Source organism: Homo sapiens, chromosome 11, assembly GCF_000001405.40.
Source record: "Homo sapiens chromosome 11, GRCh38.p14 Primary Assembly".
Lineage (NCBI taxonomy): Eukaryota > Metazoa > Chordata > Mammalia > Primates > Hominidae > Homo > Homo sapiens.
In genome coordinates, this window is record NC_000011.10 from 77,265,078 (window position 1) to 77,288,731 (window position 23,654).

A 23,654-nucleotide genomic window follows, 5' to 3' on the forward strand; every position below is an offset into this window, starting at 1 on the left:
CCCGCACACCCCTATTCCTTTCTATAGCTCAGGAAACTATACAAGCTTCAATCATCTGGCCTTTTCCTTGAGTTTCAAATTTTTGTGGGACTCCCATGTGCACATAGGTAATTAAAATTATTTTTCTCCTGTTAATCTGTCTTATGTCAATTTAATTTGTAGACTAGCCAAAGAACCTAGAAGGGTAGACCAATAAAACCTTTTGATCCTCTAGAGCAGTACAGACCACTCTTTGGAGGAATGCTGCTTAAAAGAAAGTGAAGACATGGAGCATAAACTGGAGCAGTATATAGGGCCTAGAAAAGTTTTAAAATGTCAGAATGGATCATCTTCTGATTTTAGAATCACTTTATCTATATCTTTTCTTAAGAAAGCTAACGCAATTCTTTTCTTTAAATTCTATTTTGAGAGGATTGTAGATTCACATGGGTTTGTAAGAAATACAGAGAGATCCTATATACCCTTAGCCCATTTCCCCTAATAGTAACATCTTGCATAACTATACTATACTATCACAACAAGGAAACTGACACTGATAAAATCTGTGACCTCATTCAGATTTCATTCGTTTTACATGAACTTATTTGTATATTTAGTTCTATATTTAGTTTACATGAACTTATTTGTATATTTTGTTAATTTTATCACATGTGCAGACATATCACCACCACCATAGTCAAGATACAGAAAAGTAAATATACAAGAAGAGTTTTGTGTTACCTTTTAAAGTGGGAGCCACTTCTCTGCCTCCTTCACCCCTGGAAACCACTGATTTTTCTCCATCCCTTTAATTTTGTCATTTGAATGTGATCTTCAAATGGAATCATACAGTATATAACCTTTTGAGACTGGCTTTATTCACTCAAAGTAACTCCCATGAGGTCCATCCAAATAGCAGCATGTTTCAATAGTTCATTCATTTTTATTGCTGGGTAATATTCCACAGTATGGATGAATACAGTTTATTTAATCATTAAACCTCTTAAAGGACATTTGGGTTGTTTCTAGATTTGGGCTATTACAAATAAAACAGCTATGAAAATTAATGTGAAGTTTTTCTCTATATGAACATTGTCTTCTTTTCTGTGGAATAAATGCCCAGGAGTACAATTTCTGGGGTGTATGGTAAGTATATAATGTGCCACATAATGACAATTCAGTCAACAACGGACCTCATATATGACAGTGGCCCCATAAGATTATAATGGAGCTGAAAATTTCCTATCACCTAGTGACTTCGTAGCCGTAATATTGTAGCACAATACATTACTCGTATGTTTATGGTGACACTTCTGTAAACAAACCTGTACAGCCAATCATATAAAAGTATAGCACATACAACTACAGATAATACATAATACCTGAGGATGACAATAAACAACTGTTACTGGTTTATATATTTACTACACTACACTTTTTATTGTTATTTTAGAGTATATACATTCTATTATATATTTAAAAAATTAAATGTAAAACAGCCTCAGGTAGTCCTTCAGGAGGTATTCTAGAAGGCATTGTTTTCATAGGAGATGACCGCTCCATGCATGTTATCCCTGCAGACACTGCAGTGGGACAAGATGTGAAGGTAGAAGACAGTGATATGAACGATCCTGACCCTGTGTAAGCCTAGGCTAATGTGTGTGCTTGTTTCTTAGTTTCTAACAAAAAAGTTAAAAAAAAATTAAAATAGAAAACAGCTTAGAGAATAAGGTTATAAAGAAAGAAAATATTTTTGTACAGCTGTACAATGTAGTTGTGCTTACACTAAGTGTTATCACAAGAGTCAAAAAGTTACAATAAGCTGGAGTTAATTTATTATTGAAGAAAATTTTTTTATGAATTTGGTGCAATCTAAGTGAACAGTGTTTATAAAGTCTTCAGTAGTGTACATAATGTCCTAGGCCTTCCCATTCACTTACCACTCACTCACTGACTCACCCAGAGCAACTTCCAGTCCTGCAAGCTCCATTCATGGTAAATGCCCTATACAGGTGTACCATGTTTTATCTTTTATATTGTTATTTTTACCGTACTTTTCCTATGTTTGGATATATTTAGATACAGAAATACCTACCATTGTTCTGCAATTGCCTACAGTATTCAGTACAGTAACATGCTGTACAGGCTTGCAGCCGAAGAGTAACAGGTCATACCATATAGCCCAGGTGTGTAGTAGGCTATGCCATCTAGGTTTGTGTAAGTTCACTCTATGATATTCACACAGTGATAAAATTGCCTAACAACGCATTTCTCAGAACGTATGCTCATCATTAAGTGAGATATGACTGTATTTAGTTTTTTAAGTAACTGCCAGACTTACTTGGAGTGGCTATACAATTTTATGTTTCCACCAGGAACATATGAGTGACTCAATTTGTCTGCCAGCATTTACTGTTCTTGCTATTTTTTAACTTAGCCATACCGATAGATGAGTAGTATTAGTTTTAATTTGCATTTTCCTAAAGGTTAATGCAGTTGAACATCTTCTCATGTACTTATTTGCTATCTGTATATTCTCTTCAGTGACATATCTACACATGTATTTCGTCCATTTTCTAATTGGATTGTTTGGTTTGTATTTGTTTTTGTTTTCATTTTACTGTTGAGTTTTGAAAGTTTATATATCCTAGACACAAGTCTTTTGCCAGACATGTGTTTTACAAATATTGTCTCCCAGTCTGACACTTGTCTTTTCATTCTCCTCATAGGGTCTTAGAGCAAAAGCTTTTCAGAATGAATTCCCTGGAATTTTCTCCTTCCCCCATCTCTGCTTGGTAAAATGGTATTTTTCCTTCGAGGCTCAACCCAAACACAACTTTGAGCACACAAATTTTTTTTCTTTTTTTTCCCACACAACAGGAAGTGACCTTTTCCTCCACTGAGGTTCCATTACACTTATTTTTCTCTGGAAGGCTCTTGCCACAAATGGCCTTATTCTGTAGTTATCTGTAAACATCCCATGTCTCCTTCACTAGCTGGAACATCTTTTAGGTATGACTACATCTTATTCATTTGCATTTCCCAAGCACTCAGAAGAAGGCCTGGAATACAGCAAATGCTCAAGGAATGTTAAATAAATTGCTAAGGTAGTACATAGAGTGAAGTGGTAAGCACGGTTTGCAATGGGGCCATATGTGAATCATGTGTGAAGACTATATCTAGTGTGTCTGATTTGTAACCCTGTCATTGAAAACATGGAGATGCAGAGGTGCGGTTTGTGAGATGTGGTTCATTTGTGTAGTACATGCATATATGCCATATGAACACAGGAACAACTCCCCAGGGCTTGCTGTCTCTACAACCTCAGGCCAGGCTGGTTCTCTTGCATGGCATTGAACTTATACCCTCCTCCCCTCACCCCAGTTCCCTGCTTTCTTACCTTAAGTGTATATCAGTCTCCAATCCATGGGCTCCATGTTCAACAGCTTTCTCAAAGGACATCATGGTATTCTCAGGCCCCAACTGTAGAAGAAAAGGACATCAGGCCCTAAGCCTCAGAGTCTCTCCTCCCAGCATTCCTTTTGTGGTAGGGGTAGAGCCCAGTAGGATTTTGGGGAGCAGAGCTTGGCTCCCTGAGATCTCCTTTCAAAACCTGTATACCCTCCGTCCAAGCTGATTCTGGGACTCTGCTCATCTGAGACAATGTCACTGGGCACAGTAAAGAGAAATGGACTGGGAGTTAGGTGGCCTGGATTCAAGTCCAGCCTTTACAATGAACTCTTTATTCTTGCCATCTTAATGCAATCACTTTTTCTCTCCAGGGGCTTCCATGGTTCTCTTTTCTTCTCTTGACCACATACCCCACACATACTTATTTTCACCCATGTTCATCATGCTCAGACCTACCATGGGTGCACCTCTATGTCCAAAGATGGTTGGCTTGGGCCCCAAATTCTCCTTCTCCTGAATGCAGGGAGAATAAATCCCCAGTGGCATCAAATAGAGACCTAAAAGGATAAGAAGAAAGGGTAATCCAACAGGCACTTGTAGACCTGAAAAATTTGAAAGGAAGGGGAAGTGGGGGAAAAAGAGATAAAGAGGGATGGAAAATCATCCCAAGCAAAGCAGCAGTCTGAGTAAACCCACAGTCCATGGGTTTCATTGACTGTGTACTGGCTAATTTACTTTCTATTTCTGTGACATTTCCACTTACTTCCAGGGATTTGGATATAAAAGTATAGAACTGTACAAATATAGGGCATTATTATTAAGGCAACTTTACTGGAACTGGAAATTGACAGAGGGCTCAACTGTACAGGGGACAGATGGGGAAGAAAAGGAAGGAGAAGGGATGTCAAGGAGCAGCTTCTCAGGAGGAGGAGGAGCTTGGCTGATTCTAAGAAAGCCCCAGAGCCTGTAAAGATCATCCTAAAACATCTGTATATTTAAGGCAGTACAGTATAGTGGAAAGGGCACTAATTGGCAGAAATCTGGGTTTAAAGCCAAGTTCTGCCACTTCCTAATTGTGTGACTAAGGACAACTTAACCTCTCTGAATCTTCATTTTCTTCTGTAAAATGGGGCTGTCCTGCTGCTTATATCAACCTTATAGGTTGTTATGACAGTGTTGACTCATAATAGTTACTCTATAAATATTAATCATTTGCTTCCCCCTCTTTCCTTCCCTCCCTCTCCCTCTAGTACATACACACACATTCACATACAGAGCCTGTACACAATGCCTGCGATAACCAGCCATTCCCCAAGACTTACTATTTTAGACCTCTGGGAATTTTACCCATTTGTACATTTTCAAGTTACCACCTTTGCTTTAGTGACTTTCAAATCTCAGTCTCCAGCTCTAACCTCTTAACCTTGTGATTACATTACATTGCTTGAGTCTTTTTTTCTCAGAATGTGTCATCCTGTATCTTCTCATTCTAACTAAAATTTAGAAAGTGAAAAAGAAAAGAGTTCATTATTGTCCCCTTTAAGCCCTTGCCCCAGAAATACTTTCTAAAATTTACCCTCCACACACAAGCATATATATATAAACACACAATGGCAGCACTATCTATGCAGTCTTTCTCTTGCCTGCATACCCCCACAGGTCAGAAAGCAAATACCTCTTACTTAAAAAGGAGGAAAAAGGAGACCCAGAGAGAAGAAGGTCCTATTGGTTTATCCATAGAGTGGTGAAAGATACTTCCATTCTCAAAACAGTTTAGTGTACAGATCCAGTTCTTTTGATTCCATTACACTGGGACAAACAATGAAGAGGAAACCAGTGACAGAGACAGACATTTAACCTTCTGCTGTAAGTCCTCAGGTATGACATGGTCTCACAGGGGACTGCTTTGAGTTACTTGGATGTAAGCAGAAATCTCTGGACCTAGTATTAGTTGAAACTACTAATATTTGCCGGGCGCAGTGGCTCACGCCTGTAATCCCAGCACTTTGGGAGGCTGAGGCAGGCGGATCACGAGGTTAAGAGATTGAGACCATCCTGGCCAACATGGTAAAACCCCATCTCTATTAAAAATACAACCAGGCGTGGTGGTGCATGCCTGTAATCCCAGCTACTTGGGAGGCTGAGGCTGGAGAATCGCTTGAACCCAGGAGGCGGAGGTTGTAGTGAGCCGAGATTGTGCCACTGCACTCCAGCCTGGCAATGGAGCAAGACTCTGTCTCAAAAAACACAAACAAACAAACAAACAAAAAAAGAAACTACTAATATTTGAATATAAATGGAAAGAACTGTGACTTGTACCAGCACTTTGGTCAAGTAAAATTAAAACAGCCTCTACTGCGTCACCCACCATCCATCTTCAGACAGTCAATGTATAATAATGTAGAGAAAGATCTTATTTTTCCAAAAAAAGAATCCCTCTTTAGAAGAAGGTCTGTTTGGCCACAGAAATACTATGACAGGCCATTGGCCACTATAACAGGGTAGTGAGTGAAAGCACAGGAGCATGCCTGAGTAACAAGCTAAATGAATTTCAACGAGGCATAGGGGTGGCTAGTTCCCAAGCTTCTGTTTTCCTGAGTGGAGTATGCAAGCTAAAGCCAGAGCTGAAGAAATAGGCAGGGTTCTGCCCTATGTGACATACCTTCTCTTTCCAAACATGCCACGTAGAAGGCCACAGGCCAGAAAAGGATAACCATCACAGTTATGCTGACCAGGTGCACGTAGGGAGCAAAGATCTGTGAGAAAGCCAAAAGTCAGGCTGGATACATCTAGACAGCTAGTGCTGGAGCTATAGGATGATGCTTACCTGCATTGACAGCCCAGCTACCAGCCACCTTTCTTTCCAGAATTTGCATATAATGAACATTAAAATGACACACAGAAGAATCACTAGCAGAATCAGGATCTAGGGAAACAGAAAAAAAATCTCCTGACTTCAAGCACTAGGCTTGGATCAGAACTGTCCTCAGGAATTATATGTGTGTCTTCACAATGTCAGGGACCTTATCTGCTTCCTCATTCTTTTACCATAATAATGTAGAGAAAGATCTTGTTTTTCCTGCAAATCCCCAGTATTAGATGGAACTAATCATTCACCTTCTTTGCTTCTAAGTCTTTGCTGTACAGCATGGCTGGAAAAAATTACACAGCTAATTTACCATTACTAATTTACTATCTCCAGCCTCAGCTGGGTCCTCAACATTGCTTGGTATCTCTTACTCAGATTCAACAGTTGCCATTAAATTCTTCACCATTTCTTTAGTCCTCAATTGTATACTCAATACAATTATAAGTAAATAATACTCTGTAATTGCCTTTTCAACGTCCGTTTTCCCCAACAGACTATAAGCTTCATGAAGTCAAGGTTAATATTGGTATTTTTTATGATTACATCCTCAGTGTCCTGCAGAATGCCTGGCACATAGTAAGCATCCAATAAGTATTTATTAAACAGATGAAAAAACCTGCCTGCCAGAACACTGTATACTTCATAGAGAAAGAACATTGAGACCAAGAAGACCTAATTTTCCTAACTTCCTCCCTTTCAAATGTATAGTTTTCCTACATCCGTGCTGCCCTCTAGACAGTACTTAGCTCTCCTTTCCATAATCTCTACATCTAAAATAACTGAATCCATAATTAAGTCTTTCACAACTCTTTGCTGACTTCAATGATAAATTCTACCAAACATTTAAGGAAGAAATATTTCCAATCTTTAACAAACTCTTTCAGAGAATAGAAAAAGAGAGAATACTTTATAACATCTTAAGAGTGCAACAAAACATTATACCCAAATTTAACAAGGACATTATTACAAGAACAGAAAATACATACATAGATGAAAAAGTTTTAAACAACCTATTAGGAAAAACTAAATGCATCACAACACAAAAGTTGAATTGCCAGAGTCATAAGAATCACAGATCTTACCCAACACCAAACTTCACTATGGATTTAAAGGATACAGGCAATCATAGAGAACAGATAAAAGATTTTCCAGTGGCAGGCTGGGAGCAGCGGCTCCCATCTATGATCCCAGCACTTTGGGAGGCTGAGGAGGGTGGATCACCTGAGGCCAGGAGTTCGAGATAAGCCTGGCCAATATGGTGAAACCCCATCTCTACTAAAAATACAAAAATTAGCCAGGTGTGGTTGCACACAACTGTAGTTCCAGCTACTCGGGAGGCTGAAGTGGGAGAATCGCTTGAACCCGGGAGGCAGAAGTTGCAGTGAGCTGAGATTGCACCACTGCACTCCAGCCTGAGCAACGGAGTGAGACTCTGCCTCAAAAAAAAAAAAAAATTTTTTTTTGAGTGAATATGATCACGTCAAATGCAGTTACTCATATAGGGTCTTTCCTCTCCCGTATTAGTATACATTCTGTTTTTGGACTTAAAATGTAAGGTGTGTTTTGAGCAAAATATGAAGAAACATTGCTTCACAGGCGTCATTTTGGTTTTTTATGGAGCATCATTATTTTATATTCCATTAATTATATAACTCTAGCCAGTCAATATCTTTTAACACATGAACCTATATATTCCAGGTTTGTTTACAATAAAACCAACCTAAATATATCTAGGTATATCCTGCTAGAAATTTTTGCAGATAAGCAGCTGACAAATACATTTCGTGTGTTTACCAGGAGGTCAGGTTATTAGCATGTTTACAAGGAGTTTGGGTTGATGCCATTTGCTTCTCTCTGGGCATCTGTAGGTAGAAGGGGAAGGGGTTCTAGGCCTCGTGCTAATGCTTTTCTTCCTAAATTTATTCTGAGTACAATAAAATGAAACTCCAAGCCCCACAAAATCTCCCTTGCCAATAAAATCAGTCTCTCCTCACAAGTCTGATAAGCCTGGTCCTTCCTGGTTTGAAGACCTGAAGACTCAACCAAGGTAGTTAACTTCCAAGGGAATGCCAACTCTTAACAATCACCCTGCACTTTTCATTGCCTTCAGACTCTGTGAACTAGATCCCAGAATGCCTCAGAAGATGAAGGCTTAGAAAACAAGATTTTACTAACAAATATTGGCAAAAATCCTGTAGAATATGTGTGGGAATGAATTCTAAGGGTGCTAGACAAGGAAAAGAGAACATAATTTTAGACCAGACTAAATTTATTGATATGGGTGCACTTACCAGAGATTCTGGATTTAATATCCTAGAATTCAGGTATTAAGCAGTTCAAAGAGGTTCTGATTGTTTGGTTATCTGAAGCCTAGGCTCATTGGTAGCCTATGCTCAATGAAATTGGGATGCCAGTAATTTCTTAGTATAATATAGAAGAAATAATAAAAGATTTATTAAGAAAAGGTGCTGGAACGGTATCACCTATGATCAGCTAACCTACTCCCTATATCGTGTTCTCTGGGAGGTCTCAGAAGACGCTGGTGAGGAAAGTGTCAGCATCCTTGAAAAGCACTGTGGTGGCCATCCTGTATGCCTGAAAAAAGGTGAGAGATGCTGCCACTCAAACAGTCTTCCTGATTTCAAAGGGGATGATGTGCTTCTGCTGTGGCAGAGGCCAAGTAGCAGTACTTAACTGGCACAGGCAACATAAGCATAGTTTTTATAATAGACACTAACCTGGAATGGTAATCAGAATGTTTTCAGGGATTCTTGGTATTGGTTAATTTATCATGGTGTCCCAACTCCAAAACAGATGTTGGATATCAATAAGGCCTATTTGTTCAATTTTCAAATCTATATTCTTTCCCTAGAAAAAATCTCATGGCTTCAAGCTCCATCTATTCTAATAACTCTAAATTTATATTTCCAGTTCATACTTCTCATTTGAATAAGAGGATATTGATAAGGCTTGGACCTGTGTTCCCTCCAAATCTTATGTTGAAATGTGACCACCAATACTGGAGGTGGGCATAGTGGGAGGTGTTTGGATCATGGGGACAGCTCCCTCATGAATGGCTTAGTGCTGTCCTTGCAGTAATGAGTGGGTTCTCATTCTGTGAGTTCACATGAGATCTGGTTGTTTAAAAGGGCCTGGCACCTCCTCCTTCTCTCTCTTGCTCCCTTTCTTGCTATGTGATATGCTGGCTCCCCACTTGCCTTCCACCGTGATTGTATGCTTCCTGAGGCCCTCACCAGGACCAGATGCCAGTGCTATACTTCCTTTACAGCCTGCAGAACCATGAGACAAAATAGACCTCTTTTCTTTATAAATTACCCAATCTCAGGTATTCCTTTATTAGCAATGCAAATTGACTGATTTAAGACTTAAGGGGACCACTCAAGAGTTTGAAATGTTTCTGGATTTGGGGAAATACAAGAAATACAAGAAATGGTATCAACACTATGCCTGATGTTCTCACTCATATTTGGGAGGTAAAAAAGTTGATCTCATGGAAGTAGAGAATAGAGTGATAGTTACCAAGGGCTGGAAAGGGTGGGTCAGAGTGGGAGAAATGAAGAGGGGTTGGTTAATGAGAACATACCATTAGATAAAGAGTAAGTTCTAATGTTTGACAGTACAGTAAGGTGACTACAGTTAGCAATAATTTATAATATAAAATAGCTTCAAAATAGTTCAAAAAATAGTTTCAAAACAGCTAGAAGAGTTGAAATGTTCCTAACATGAAGAAATGATAAATGCTTGAGATGATGGATATCCTAAATTCCCTGATTTGAGCATTATGCATTGTAGGCATATATCAAAATCATCACATGGATCCCACAAATATGTCTAATTACTATGTATCAATTTTTAAAAACCATGCCCAAAAAAGTCTATAAAAAAGCAAGAGGCTGTCACTGGAGCTGCTCAAGCCCATGGGAGAACAAAACAAGGATGCTATATTGGAAATATGCTGCATGCCTGCAGATGGTGGGGCAAAGCTGACTGTCCTCTGGGGACCAGATATAGACCCTGTGAAAGAAATCATGCTGGTGTTATTTTAAAGATATCCAAACCCAAGACGGGGTAAAAAGGACTTCAAAAAAGAAATTTCAGGGGGCTACAGGAAGACAGGCATTGACTCCACCAAGAGAGTTATAGTCAAGGTTCTCAGTAGGATTTCTGAAAACACACATAGAAAACGTCCACGGGAAAACAAGCAACTGTACATTTACCTAGAAATGAACCCCTGATTCCCTTTCTCCCCTCTCCTTGTGAGACTGTGCTCGTTTCTCCATCTCCTCTTCCCCTGGACCCCACTCAGGCGGAAAAGAGGTAGAAGGACCACCATGCCCTCTCTGCCGCTATGGGCTTCAGGCTTGGATAAGGCCCAAATAGGGGAGGGGAAACATTTTAAGGTTAATAAAGTTGGAGCTTAGGTTATTACAGTGAACTGAAATTTTTAATCACTGAAATGAGAGTATTCTTGTGACTGAAAAGTACTGGGAAATTAATGGAATGAGTGCCTAAGATTTTACTGGAATGGGAAGAACAGGGCTACAGATTGAGTTTAATAGGAAGTAGTGAGAACAAATAAGAGTTTGGGTTCAGCTCGGGTTCAGCTCCCTCCATAAATCAGTTGCAACGTTAGAAATTTAATTATTTCAGTTAATATGGTGTAAGTAAATCTCTTCTCTCCAAGGAGAACAGTAACAGAGAGGGTAACCCCATACACAAAACTGAGTACCAAGGAGCATGTTCAGGCCTGGTCTAAGGTTCAGTCCTGGTCTAAGGTTTCCTATGTGGACTCAGATGTCCTACCTTATGACACAAGTGCAGGTATAGTTCAATCCTTTCCCAAAGCAACAAAAATCCAAGTAACTGCAAAAGCAAAGAAGAAAAAGAGAGTTATTTTGAAATCACCAAGTTGCCACCCAAAGCACTGTTCCTATAGCTCCAAATTCCGTTCACAGTCTAGCAGTACACTCATTTCTTGCTATACCTGTACTTTATTTAGCCTCTGGGAGTTTTCCATGTTGTTTGCCTGAAAAAGCTCCCTCTCCCTATGCCACTGACTCTTCAAAGCCAGTTCAAATCTCACCTCCTATTTATAACTTTCACCCGCAACCTCAGGAAGAATTCTGTGTTATCTCCTCTAAGATTTCATAACAATTACCACACTGATACTCAGTTGAGTTCCTGCCCATTTCTTTTCCCTGTGAGGAACCTTATTCATGGTATTACTTGGACTCACTTGTAAGAGAAGAAAGGTCAGGAGGCAGCCCTTCCAAGGACTCTTGTTTTGGGGAACCAGGGCTGTTGTTACAATTGTCAACCACTGTTGTTAACACTGGTATAGATTCAACAAATCTTGGATTTTAATCTAAATCTAGCCAGTCACCAAGTCAGTGTAAAGACAGAAATTGAGAACTGGAGTCCTCAGATGCCTAGGATATTAATGATAATTTGATGTGTAAGGCACTTACCTCTTTATCAAAATAATTTCATGTGTATTTCATTTGTTCTTTACTTAACCCTATATTATACCATTTTATTAAATATTATCATTCTTATTTGAAAAAAAAATGAAACTGAGGTCAGAAGAGTTACATGCCTTGACCAAGGTTACATAGTACCTAAAGATAGAACTAGAAATAGAATCCAGGTCCCCCTCCTTTTTCACTATTGTTGCCATTGCATGTATCCAAAAAGAAGTAGGGTAGAGTAGAAAGTTTGTTAAAATATATTGCTTTATTGGACACCTGAATTCATTCCCACCTTAGAACCTAACTATACCATTTCATGTTTATTGTGCATAAAAGTGGTACAATTCAGTGGTCAGAGTTTGCCCTACAGCACATCCTTCATCTACATTTTCCCCATGTAAAAAAAAAAAAAAAGTTTCTAATTGGTCTCTCTGCCCATAGCCACCCTCCAAACCACAACATCAAGAATAATTTTCCTAAAATAGAAAACTGATTTATATCAAATGTCTTAGCCTTTCTTTCCAGGCCTTCCAAAATCTCACAAACCTCTTTTCAGCCATGTTTCCTTTTTTTTTTTTTTTTTTTTTTTTTTTGAGACAGAGTCTCGCTCTGTCGTCCAGGCTGGAGTGCAGTGTGGCTCGATCTCGGCTCAGTGCAAGCTCCGCCTCCCAGGTTCACGCCATTCTCCTGCCTCAGCCTCCCGAGTAGCTGGGACTATGGGCGCCCGCCACCACGCCTGGCTAATTTTTTTTTATATTTTTAGTAGAGACGGGGTTTATCATTTTTTATTGTGTCTATTTGATTCTTCTCTCTTTTCTTCTTTATTAGTCTTGCTAGCGGTCTATCAATTTTGTTGATCTTTTCAAAAAACCAGCTCCTTTTTGAAGGGTTTTTTGTGTCTCTATCTCCTTCAGTTCTGCTCTGATCTTAGTTATTTCTTGCCTTCTGCTAGCTTTTGAATGTGTTTGCTCTTGCTTCTCTAGTTCTTTTAATTGTGATGTTAGGATGTCAATTTTAGATCTTTCCTGCTTTCTCTTGTGGACATTTAGTGCTATAAATTTCCCTCTACACACTGCTTTAAATGTGTCCCAGAGATTCTGGTATGTTGTGTCTTTGTTCTCGTTGGTTTCAAAGAACATCTTTATTTCTGCCTTCATTTCGTTATGTACCCAGTAGTCATTCAGGAGCAGGTTGTTCAGTTTCCATGTAGTTGAGCGGTTTTGAGTGAGTTTCTTAATCCTGAGTTCTAGTTTGATTGCACTGTGGTCTGACAGACAGTTTGTTATCATTTCTGTTCTTTTACATTTGCTGAGGAGTGCTTTACTTCTAACCATGTTAGCCAGGATGGTCTCGATCTCCTGACCTTATGATCCACCCGCCTCGGCCTCCCAAAGTGCTGGGATTACAGGCATGAGCCACAGTGCCTGGCCCCCCATTATTCTTCATTATGCCCTACATACTAACAGAACTGACCGTTCCCTCTCAGCAAGACAGCCTATATTTTTCTGTCTTGCTTAGTCATGAAGCTCCCTCAGTCCACAATGTTCTTCCTCATTACCATATCTATATGTCCAAATCTAACATTCCTTTAAGATCCCACTACAGTGACAAGGAATAGTTATAACTTATATCTCACATCTACCTCTATGAAGTGCACTGCATGAAAACAGAAATTGCTTAGCTTTTATTGATCTTCGTATACTCAGCACTTCTCACAACGTTCTGCTCATATAATGATTAATAAGTTTTGTTGAAAGAAAAAGTTCATGCAAATAGCAACATATTTGGGGGCTAGGTTCTTCTGTATCAGACAAGAATTCAATAGAGAAAGGAATGGTGAAATCAGAGAAAGTTATCTGCCCTATGTATAAATGGGCACTGCAAAACTCTGTCTAAAGTTATCCTCCCATTTCCAGACTTTTCTCTTACCTGGCATAAATTTCTCACACTAAGTGACACTACTATGTTAGGCAACAGAAGCAAGGTCACACTATTGCCAAAGGCTTTTGCTAAAATGTACTTTGCATCTGGGCTAGGTGACTAGCATTTGTACATTAGAACAAATTTAACAAGTAAGCAAATTTTTTTAAGACCCAGAAAGACTGATTTTCAGAAGATGGGACATGAGATGAGTAAAGATACTGCTGCTGTGAAGCTATGGGTATCTAAAATGACAATATTGAGGGAACCATAGGATAGGGTATGAAACAAGGAAATAGAAAAAGGATGTTGTTACACTTTCAAAGGGCCAAACTGGCAAGACACATCCTCTAACAGAACAGGCTTTCCTTCCACGTCCTTCCACGTCCTATTCCTTGTGCCTAAAATTCAACTAGCTAATGTAAATCCCAACTCTACTAAGACAAGAGTGATCTTAGGTTCTGAGAGTCCCCAGTACCAACTGGATACTATACCACAGGCAGGAACACCTCATCAGGCTACTCAGGAAGGGAGTGGAAGAAATGAGAAGCATTACTCACCAACAGCAATGAAGAGTAGGCAGTCAGGATCCTAGCTAAACTCAGAATAAAAATAGACCAGAAAAACCAGTATCCTGTTCCTAGAAAAGTGACCCTGAAAAAAAATGTGTTTCAGTTCTTAAAATAATGCAGAAATCAGTAGCATCTGTGTCAAGGATGGGGACAAAACCAGACTAGATAAGGCATAAGCAAATGTAGGGAGATAAAAAGAAGCAGTGTGTGAACAGCAGCTTTTGCGGATAATTATATGAGGAGTTTTAAAGTTGTGTTCTGTAGGCAATTGGGGATGTTCATGGGGTCTGTAAACGCAGTAGGATCTTAAGTTACTTAGAATACATATTTAAAAATTACGTCCTCTTTTAAAAATTAACATAACACAGAAATTTGGGAATACCGGAAGAGAAACAATACATCCCATAAGTTTACTGCCTGAACAAAACTAATACTTTACACTTTGGCAGGCTCCTTGTCCACATGCATATGTATTTTTGGACATAATTGCAATCACAGCCACCATATTAAAAAAAAAGCCCCAATTTTTCTGTTCCTAATGTAGCATATGAGAGAAAATTGTTAATGATTTGTTAGGAGAAACAATGTTATACTTGATCTAGGTATTACACAAAGAAATTTGAATCTTCATCTCAAGAAAACAGAAATTTCCTCCTCTCCGTACAAAACCTGGAGAAATTAAATTTTTTAAGAATTAAACTATAGGTTAGTGAACATATAACTACACTAGTAAGAATTATAAAGGAAATTCTCTTGGACAAGAGCTGTGAGATAAACTAGGAAGAAACAAACAGGCAAAGAGCCTTAACTAGCAAAAGGTATCCCAGATCAAGACTGGGAAGAGTGCTCTGTAGAAGATGAGCTCACAATCAGGAATCAGAAAATATGTAAGGGATGTCAACAAATGAACCCTATGAGCCAACAAATAGAAAAACTTGGACCCAAAAAAACATAATTAATAGAATCAGAAAAGAGCCACAAAATAAATATATTTAAGATCTTCCATGATGTAAAGGAATGATTCACATCCATGAAACAAGAATAGGATGTTTTAACCCAAGCACAGGTGGTTATTAAACAGAGATCTTGAAAAAAAATTTTCGAAATTAAAAAAAAAAACATGAAATCTGGCCTTAATAGCACTCTAGATGTAGTCAAAGAACTAATCAGTTTAACCAAATTGTGATATTGACTTTGCTTTCCAAGTAACAAAGAAAACTTAGTGTTTGTCATTTCATGGTACTCCTCTTTCTTCTAATCATTTTACTGGTCACATTGATATTTTATTTTAATCCCTTTCTACCTAAAAGGTTTTCTTTTGGATATCAGATCACATGTAAATATTACTATTAGTTTGCTTTACTTCAAAGCCCTCTCACCAAACTCAAGTGAAGTTCCCACCCCCCAGCTATGGATTACAGGCAAAAGAAGAACTGTGATTTGGCTTTTTCTCTCTCTCCCTCTACTTCTTCCCATCCGGGTAAGTAACTGTACTTACTGTTGGTGATGGTAGTGGCGTGAAAAAAGGGAGTGAAAAGAGCGAGAAGGAGTTTGCTTATGTGACTGCCTGAACATCAGTGGGAACTGAAAAAGGAAGTCTCCTTTCTTGGCCGTCACTTCTTTAAGCTGAGAATATACAATGCTGATGACTATGCAGAAGTCCTACTCTATGTGAATGTGTCCAATTTAGGCTTCTTCTGACTTAGTATTTTTAAGCAGTTTTCTCTCCGCTCTGGACCATTGTGTTACATCCCTCTAGCAGCATAATCACACCTCCATTTTGGATGTAGGCCTACTCACTCAACCAAGACAGCTTTACTGGGGCAGCCTAGTCAATGCAACCTACTCATGTAAAATCCATATTTTCTGTTATCATTATAACAATGTTTAAAGAAACCTTCAAGGACCCCTTCCCTCCTTTCTCACAGCTGTAAGATGCAGCTTTCTTGCACCTTTCCCCAATACATATTGCAATGTTTTATATCAGCATCACCAACTGTCAGCTGACAGTAACTCTAGATGAGAAAAAAAGATACCATCGATGGTGGAGGCCCTAGGAACCCTCGCACAGTTTGAAATGGAGAAACAACACACACAGAGGGGAAAAGAGAGAGTTACGGTTACCCTACCAAAAAATTCTGCTCTTTCTAGCTAAGGGGAACAACTAGAAAAGCTAGACAAAATGTTTTGAAAAATCTAAATGAAAGCATCAGATATCTACCAGACAGTGAAGAACTATGAAGCCAAGATCTAAATAAGGAAGGAAATCCAGTGATAGTGTAGCATTTGGGGTAATTTTTCTCTAGAAGGATTGGCTGAGGTACAGGAAGCTCTTGTAAACTTCACAGGGCTACAGGGGAGAAGGTAATCTCGTAAACACAACACACTTTGATTTGGAACCTTACAGGGTTACATTCTAGGAGTAAGCACAAACTTTTCCAGTTTGTGACTTGTGGGGGAAGGAATCCTAGCTTTGAAGCATCTAAATGTGTGAACAGACGTTATTAGTCTGCTCCCCCTAGGTACTGGCTTGATGGCGTACACAGCTTAGGCCTCTCCCTAACAGTCCTCTTCTACGGCACACGTAGGGGTTATTTTTTATACAGGGAAAAAAAGATTCTAGATGAAAGATCAGAGGTGCATGATAAAATGAAGAGCAATAAAAAAAAGTAAATATGTAGGTAAATCTAAAAGAATATTAACTATACAAAACAACAATAATGTCGTATGTGGTTGGAAAAGTATGTAGGATTAAAATATATGATGAGAATGGCTTATAACTCAGAAGTTATAAGTGTCTGAAGAAGTTATAAGTATATGAAGTTAAGGTGTTTCAAGATCCTTGTATTATCCAGGAAAAGGTGAAAATACTAATATAAGACTTCGGTAAGTCAAGATTACATGTTGTAATTTCCAGGGTAGGTACAAAAAAGACAGCAAGAGTGAGTAGGAGAGAAAATATGGGTATTCCTTCCAATTTAATAGAGGGAAAAAATGAAGTAATAAAAAATACTTAATATAAAATAAGGCAAGAAAAGAGGAAAAAAGAACACAGGGCTGGGTGCGGTAGCTCACACCTGCAATCCCAGCAATTTGGGAGGTCGAGCGGGCAGATCACTTGAGCTCAGGAGTTTGAGACCAGCCTGGGCAACATGGCGAAACCTGTCTCCACAAAAAAATATAAAAATTAGCTAGGTGTGGTGGTTTGTGTCTGTAGTCCTAGCTACTTGGGAGGCTGAAGTGGGAGGATCGGTCAAGCTTGGGAGGCAGAGGCTGCAATGAGCCAAGCTTGGGAGGCAGAGGCTGCAATGAGCCAAGATCATCATATCACTGCACTCCAGCCTGGGCAACAGAGTGAGACCCTGCCTCAAAAAAAAACAACAACAACAACAAAAAAAAAAACACAGAACTGATAGGACAGTAGCATTAGGAAGAATATGGATGTAAGCTCAAATAAAATATATTAGTGATATATTAGTACAGAGCTATTTTTTATTTGGAACATAAAGACAAATATTGCCAAACTGGATTTGAGAAACCCAACCATATGCTATTTATAAGAGAAACTTCCAAAACATGAGCTACAGAAAGGTTAAAAAAATAAAGGATGGAAAAGATAAACCATGCAAAGCTAGTATAGCTATATTAGTTATTATACAAAATAGTCTTCAAGTTAAAAACATATGAAGAAAATGAAAGACTATGCTGCAACTTTGCACTAAGATTGAAGACTTCATTGGTACTGAGACTTGTGCCTGATTTACAACACTACATCCTGGCAGACGAAGATCACAAATGGGGGATGGCTGCAAGGATGATCATGGAAGCTAGCCAGTAAGCATCTCAGTCTTGGGAACAATGGTTAGGGTTCCAAGCCATGCCGGTGGTCAGTGCAAAAGCCTGTTGTGAGGGATATTTCTGTAAAATGCCTGGAAGAGCAATTCCAAAAAGTAGCTAGGGACCAGTGCTTGACTGAGGCACTGTCTAATGAAAGTAATATGACCAGAGTGACCAGTGTCATTTTGATGACCAGAGTTTCTTCTTACCACCACCACGCTATTTTTGCTGTCTTGTGGTAAGCCCCAGGACTTTGATACCACTCAAGGGATGGGGAGAGAGGCAGAAAGATTTGGATATTAGACTTTGCATAAACCTTATCAACTATGGATCTCAGAGCTGGTATTTTAAAATTTATAAATATAAATAAATAAATTATACCATAGCATTTATATTTTAAATTGAAATACAATTCCTGTGGAATAATTCAGAACTGGCCCATAAATGAAACTGCAGATGAACCAGTGAGAAGGCTAACTGAAAACCCCCAATGAATAAGTAGGCAAAGGAAAATAAATTTTAAAAGAAATTAGTTAAATAAACTTGTTCTGAAACTAAATGATTCAAATTAAAACAAAAAATTTCATCAAGAAAACATTATGCAATATTACAATATTTAATGCTGTCATATACCTCTGTTTTAAATAGAAATTGCTATAACCTTTTGAGAAAGTACTTTGGCAACAGACATAATGAATTTTTTTTTTTTTTTTTTTTTTGAGTCAGGGTCTGGCTCTGTCACCCAGGCTGGAATGCAGTGGCACGATCTCGGCTCACTGCAACCTCTGCCTCCCAGGCCCAAGGGATCCTCCCACCTCAGCCTTCTAAGTAGCTGGGACTACAAGCACACACCACCATGCCTGGCTAATTTTGGGGCATAATGAATTTTAACAACGTTTATTCTTCTTGACTCAATAATGCCACTTATGGGAATCTATTCTAGGAACATTAGTCAGAATACAAAGATTTATCTGCATTACTAGTTTATAAAAACAAGAAAATTGGACACACATATAATGCCTAACAATTAAAAATGGCTAAGTGTATTATAGCATCTGTCATGAAATATTTTTAAACCATTTTAAATGATGTTCATTAGGAGTTTAAAAATTTTGTTAAAATGTTTATTATTTTAAGTGAAAAGAGAAAGCAAAATTATGTATACAATATGAGCATAATATAAAAATAAACATAGAAAAATATAACAAGTGATTATCTCTCAAGAGTGAGACTAGGCAGATACTATATTTTCTAACTTTTTGCATTTTACACATAAAATAACAAACCATGTTTTACTTCTACAAAGAAAACAACAACTGTATTCCATTTTTAAAAGCCCCATATCCGAACAGATCCTTCTCCCCCAAATACCAAATAACAAGATTTGCAGGAAGGTTAGAAGACATCAAGCCAGAAAAGGGCTGGGAACATTCCAGAGTAGGAGTTTAGCCATGAAAAGGGTACTGGAAAGGGATACCTGTCACTGTGTTCAGAATCGTAGGAAGCCTCCTAAGAACAGCAGGGAGAGGAAGAGGGTATAGGAGCAGCAGAGAAGGCAGGGTTCAGGGATAGAGATCATGAAGACCAACTAGTGTCAACATCAGTAACTCAAAGAGACTAAAGAAAAGATACCAGGGAATCATTATCTGAGTAGAAGGACTGTGGATATTGGAAGCATGAAAGCTTCCTACTGAGCCAGATTTAGTCTAAGTATGAGACTGAGCACAGTGGAAGAAAGTACAATAGGTTAGGGTGCTAAGCATCCTACCCCTGCCCCAGAGGCAGGCCTCTCACCCAAAAGCTGTGGAAAGCCCAGTTTTGTCCGCCTTCCCTACTATATCACCGGATCTTTTCAGCCTGAGGTAGAATCCAGGTGGCTATCAGACCAAAATACCCTTACACAAATGAAACTACAAAAAGTGAAACTCACCAGTCAAAGTTAAAGTATTCACTGGATGTTTCTATCCACAGGAACAGCAACATCAGAGACAAGACAAATGAAATTACCAGGCACGGCAAAATAATTGCTCTTTCTGGGAAAAGAAAAAAGAAATCTAACTTAGCTCCATTTATCCTTGTTACCTCAGCAGTTTCTGTATACACTTGCCAAAGGTCAGCATAGTTGCACTGCCATGCATTACCCTCCTGAGGCTGGAGTGATCACTCTCTTCTTTTTACCCCTACCAAATCCTGTATATGCCTATTTACAACCTTTCTTACACTTAACTGGAATTATGCATTTATGTTTTATCTGATGCTACACTGTTTCTTCTTTGAGGAAAAGGAACGTCTCTGTATTACCAATACATAGCATTGTTTCTTGAATGCAGCTGGCTCTCAACAATCATCTGTTGAATTCATCTGCCTCTCCAGCTATCAAATGTTTTGTTCAGCAATTAATTTATTGATTCATTCATCATTAATTGGTTCATTTAGTCATCAATCTACCCCATTGGAGAAGAAAGGGGGAATCAGAGTTAAAGAATAATTTTTTTTAAGTAGCTATTTTGTTCTAGTAAAATGCTAGGGAATTTCACAAGCTACTTTCATTTGATTTATTTCTCATTAGAGCCATATGAGTTGGGCATCAACCTCATTTTTGCAGAAGAAAGCTCAGAGAGGTAAAATAATTGATTCAAGATCACACAGCTAAGAAGTGGCAGGGGCAGGACTAGAACCCAGATCTGTGTAAGCTCAAAGCCAAAATGGAGGTTATCATTATGGAGAAGGTACTGCTTTCTCTGAAGGCAAAGAAGTCTCCCTGTGTTAGTTTTGTCCTTTTCAATACGTCCTCCACACAATCAAATAATCATTCCAAAACACAGCTCAGACTACTTCATCAGCTTAAAGTCTTTGGGGATTCTTTATTCCCAACATGGCAGAAGTCAAATTCTTAAAACCACACAACATTGGACCCATCTCCCTCTCTAGCTTCTTTTCCCCTCACTTCTTCACATTCATATCCTCTCCTTCATCTAAAATAAACCTTGTATCAGTCTCCAAACTCATTATGCCCTTTGACTACTCCTCCAATACCAATTCTTCCACCATCCCCAATTCTCTACCTATCCAATTCTTAATCACCCATCACCTTCTAAAAGGTGGCCCTCCCCTTGGTATGTGCCTGTGTACATGCGCATACAGTTACAGCACTTCTCTCACTATATTGAGATTGTGTGTGTACTTATCTTTCCCCACAGTAGACTGAATTCCTTGAGAGCAGGAACCATGCCTGAAGCACTTGTATTATCCCCAGTGACTAGCATAGAGGCCGAATATCTGGGCAGGAAAGATACAGTGGGGACAGAAGAACATTCCTTCCTACTGCAGGGAAACCTCCCATTTCCTACCCCTTTCCTTGTGTTCCCCACCTCAGGTATAAGAAATTAATGACCCAACTGGTCTGATTCTGGGACCCTAGTTGGACCATGTTTACAAATAAGTAAAGGTACATGATTTTGCTCTTCTGTTCTCATTTCAGTGTGCTGATCATTTAATCACTTATACCATGTAGCTCACCAAAGGGTTCCAACATATGGCTTACAAATAGAGGCCCTAAAAAAGGCTAGTCCACGTGCCACCACTCAGCCTTACTAGAGTTCTTCCTCAGGGAAAATCACCACTAGCTTGACCAATAATAAAGGAGCACCTTGTTTCTCACTTGCTGTTTTTTTCTCCTGCGAAGAGAAATTCACAGAGGAGAGCAAATTACAATTCAGGCATCCCTGTAATCCGTAACCAAAAATATCTAATTGCACCCAAACATCACTTTTTCTTCAAGATTCACTGAATGAATAAATGCAAAAGTGAATTAATGAATAAACATAAAAGAGGTAGTAAGGAAAAGTAAAGAATAAAAGTGAAAAATGAAGTGAAGGAAAGAAAATGAAGAAAGCAAGTACATGTTTCAGTAAGTTTAACATTGGTGCAATACTTTTATGGAAGAAATGGAGCCCTAGCATCCCCAGTCCTGGAGACCATAAAGAGCCCTCATGGGGCCCAGCAGTCAGCCTATGCTCCCCGCATCTGAGAAAATGTGGTCCAGCTCCTTATCAGTCTGTACCCAAGTGCAGCAACAAAATCCAACTTTAGTTTTTTCCCATTGTCTGAATTTCCAGAGGCAACTATAGCAGCCAGTAAGGAAGGTGACAAAGCATTTGTGGTTGAAGATGCGTGGAATCCATGGATTAAGCTTTTTTGGTTTTTCTGTCTTATTCCTCTTGTGCTCAATCCTGTTGACCTTCTTAAACATGATTCACCCTTTAGCTGGAAAGACAAATAAAATAATCAGGATCTAGTGTCGCTCCCCTTAATGTACCTTATCCCACCATTCTACAGAAAATTTTATCAAAGACAGATGGATTTTTAAAAAACTGTTTATAATCAAAGGTAATATACTGGATTTGGGGCAGAAGAATAGAGTTTCTTCCTACCTTTCCCTCCCACTAACTTGTTGAGTGTTTACTGTGATCACTGCATCACTCTAGGTTTAGTTTTCTCACCTCTAAAGTGGGACAATATTCCCTGTCCTCACCAACTAATAAATGCTGAAAGAATCAAATTAGATAATATATGCAAACGTGCTTCTCAAATTGCAATATGCTGTTGAAATAACTTGAGACGTTAAAGGCACGGGTGAGGTACATGAAAATACCATCGTTGACTAATAAGTGACTCAGACACACAGCTGGCTGCTCCTTCCCTTTCTCTCCTCTCCCATATGGAATCAGTTAGGGTTAGCTTCAATTATGAATGATGGAATCTTCAAAACAACAATGGCTGAAATGTGACAAGTTTATTTTTCCTTTGCCAACAAAAAATATTTCAGAGATAGAACAAAATATGTAGCATGTGGCTTCACAATGGCACTAAGAACACAGGCACCTACCACAACCTGCACCTGTGTACATCATCAAGGAGCCTGAGGACAGGCCAACATCACCTGGCACTACTACCACCACCAATGCCTACCCACACATGCCAGCTGGGGACCTATAGACTGACCCACCCATCCTATTGCTGTCACTGCTAGCACCAGTGCATGTTACCTGGGAGACCAAAGATTGGCCCCCTAACACTACTGCCATCGCTGATACCACACATGCTGCCCAGGGCTCCAGGTCCCACCCACCTGCCCTGCACACTGCTAACACTGCCAGTACCCAAGCAAGCCACCTAGAGACCTAAAAATTGGCCCACCTCGACCTGCTAACACCAGTGCCTGTGTACACTGGCCAGGGGTCCAAGGACAGGAACAATCGGCCTGCCACCACCACCACTGGGGCCTGAGGATTGGCCTGCCTGATTTCCCCATTCCCAGCAAAGTCTCACCACAGCCTGTGCTAACAACCAGAGCCTAAACCACTGACAAAATCATAGACACCACTGATATTGATTACAGCCAAAGAAATCCCAGGGAGACTATACTACTGCATGAACCCAGAATAAAAACTAAAGTGCCCCACCCAACCAACTCTACAGATACATCTACAAGAAAAAAAAATCTTCCCCTATGAAAGCCAACCCAAAAAATTAGAAAAGGCAACTGTTACAGCAGATGTGCAGATATCAACATAA

General features: G+C 39.1%; 1 protein-coding gene across 4 annotated transcripts in view; it reads right to left on the minus strand.

Moving 5' to 3' along the window:
• Positions 1-23,654, minus strand: part of GDPD4 (glycerophosphodiester phosphodiesterase domain containing 4) — an 85,142-nt gene that overhangs the window by 48,520 nt on the left and 12,968 nt on the right. For 2 of the 4 annotated variants that reach the window (XM_047426557.1, XM_047426558.1), the window contains exons 2-8: positions 20,008-22,343; positions 11,084-11,143; positions 6,218-6,316; positions 6,053-6,146; positions 4,806-4,883; positions 3,847-3,947; positions 3,380-3,462 (exon numbers count right to left, since the gene is read on the minus strand). In XM_047426557.1, the coding sequence (XP_047282513.1) occupies positions 3,380-3,462; positions 3,847-3,947; positions 4,806-4,883; positions 6,053-6,146; positions 6,218-6,277 (416 nt within the window). In that variant the 5' untranslated portion in view covers positions 6,278-6,316; positions 11,084-11,143; positions 20,008-22,343. Of the gene's footprint in view, positions 1-3,379; positions 3,463-3,846; positions 3,993-4,805; positions 4,884-6,052; positions 6,147-6,217; positions 6,317-11,083; positions 11,144-14,228; positions 14,323-20,007; positions 22,344-23,654 lie in introns of all 4 variants that reach the window. The other 2 variants (XM_011544834.1, NM_182833.3) reach the window with 2 other exon arrangements.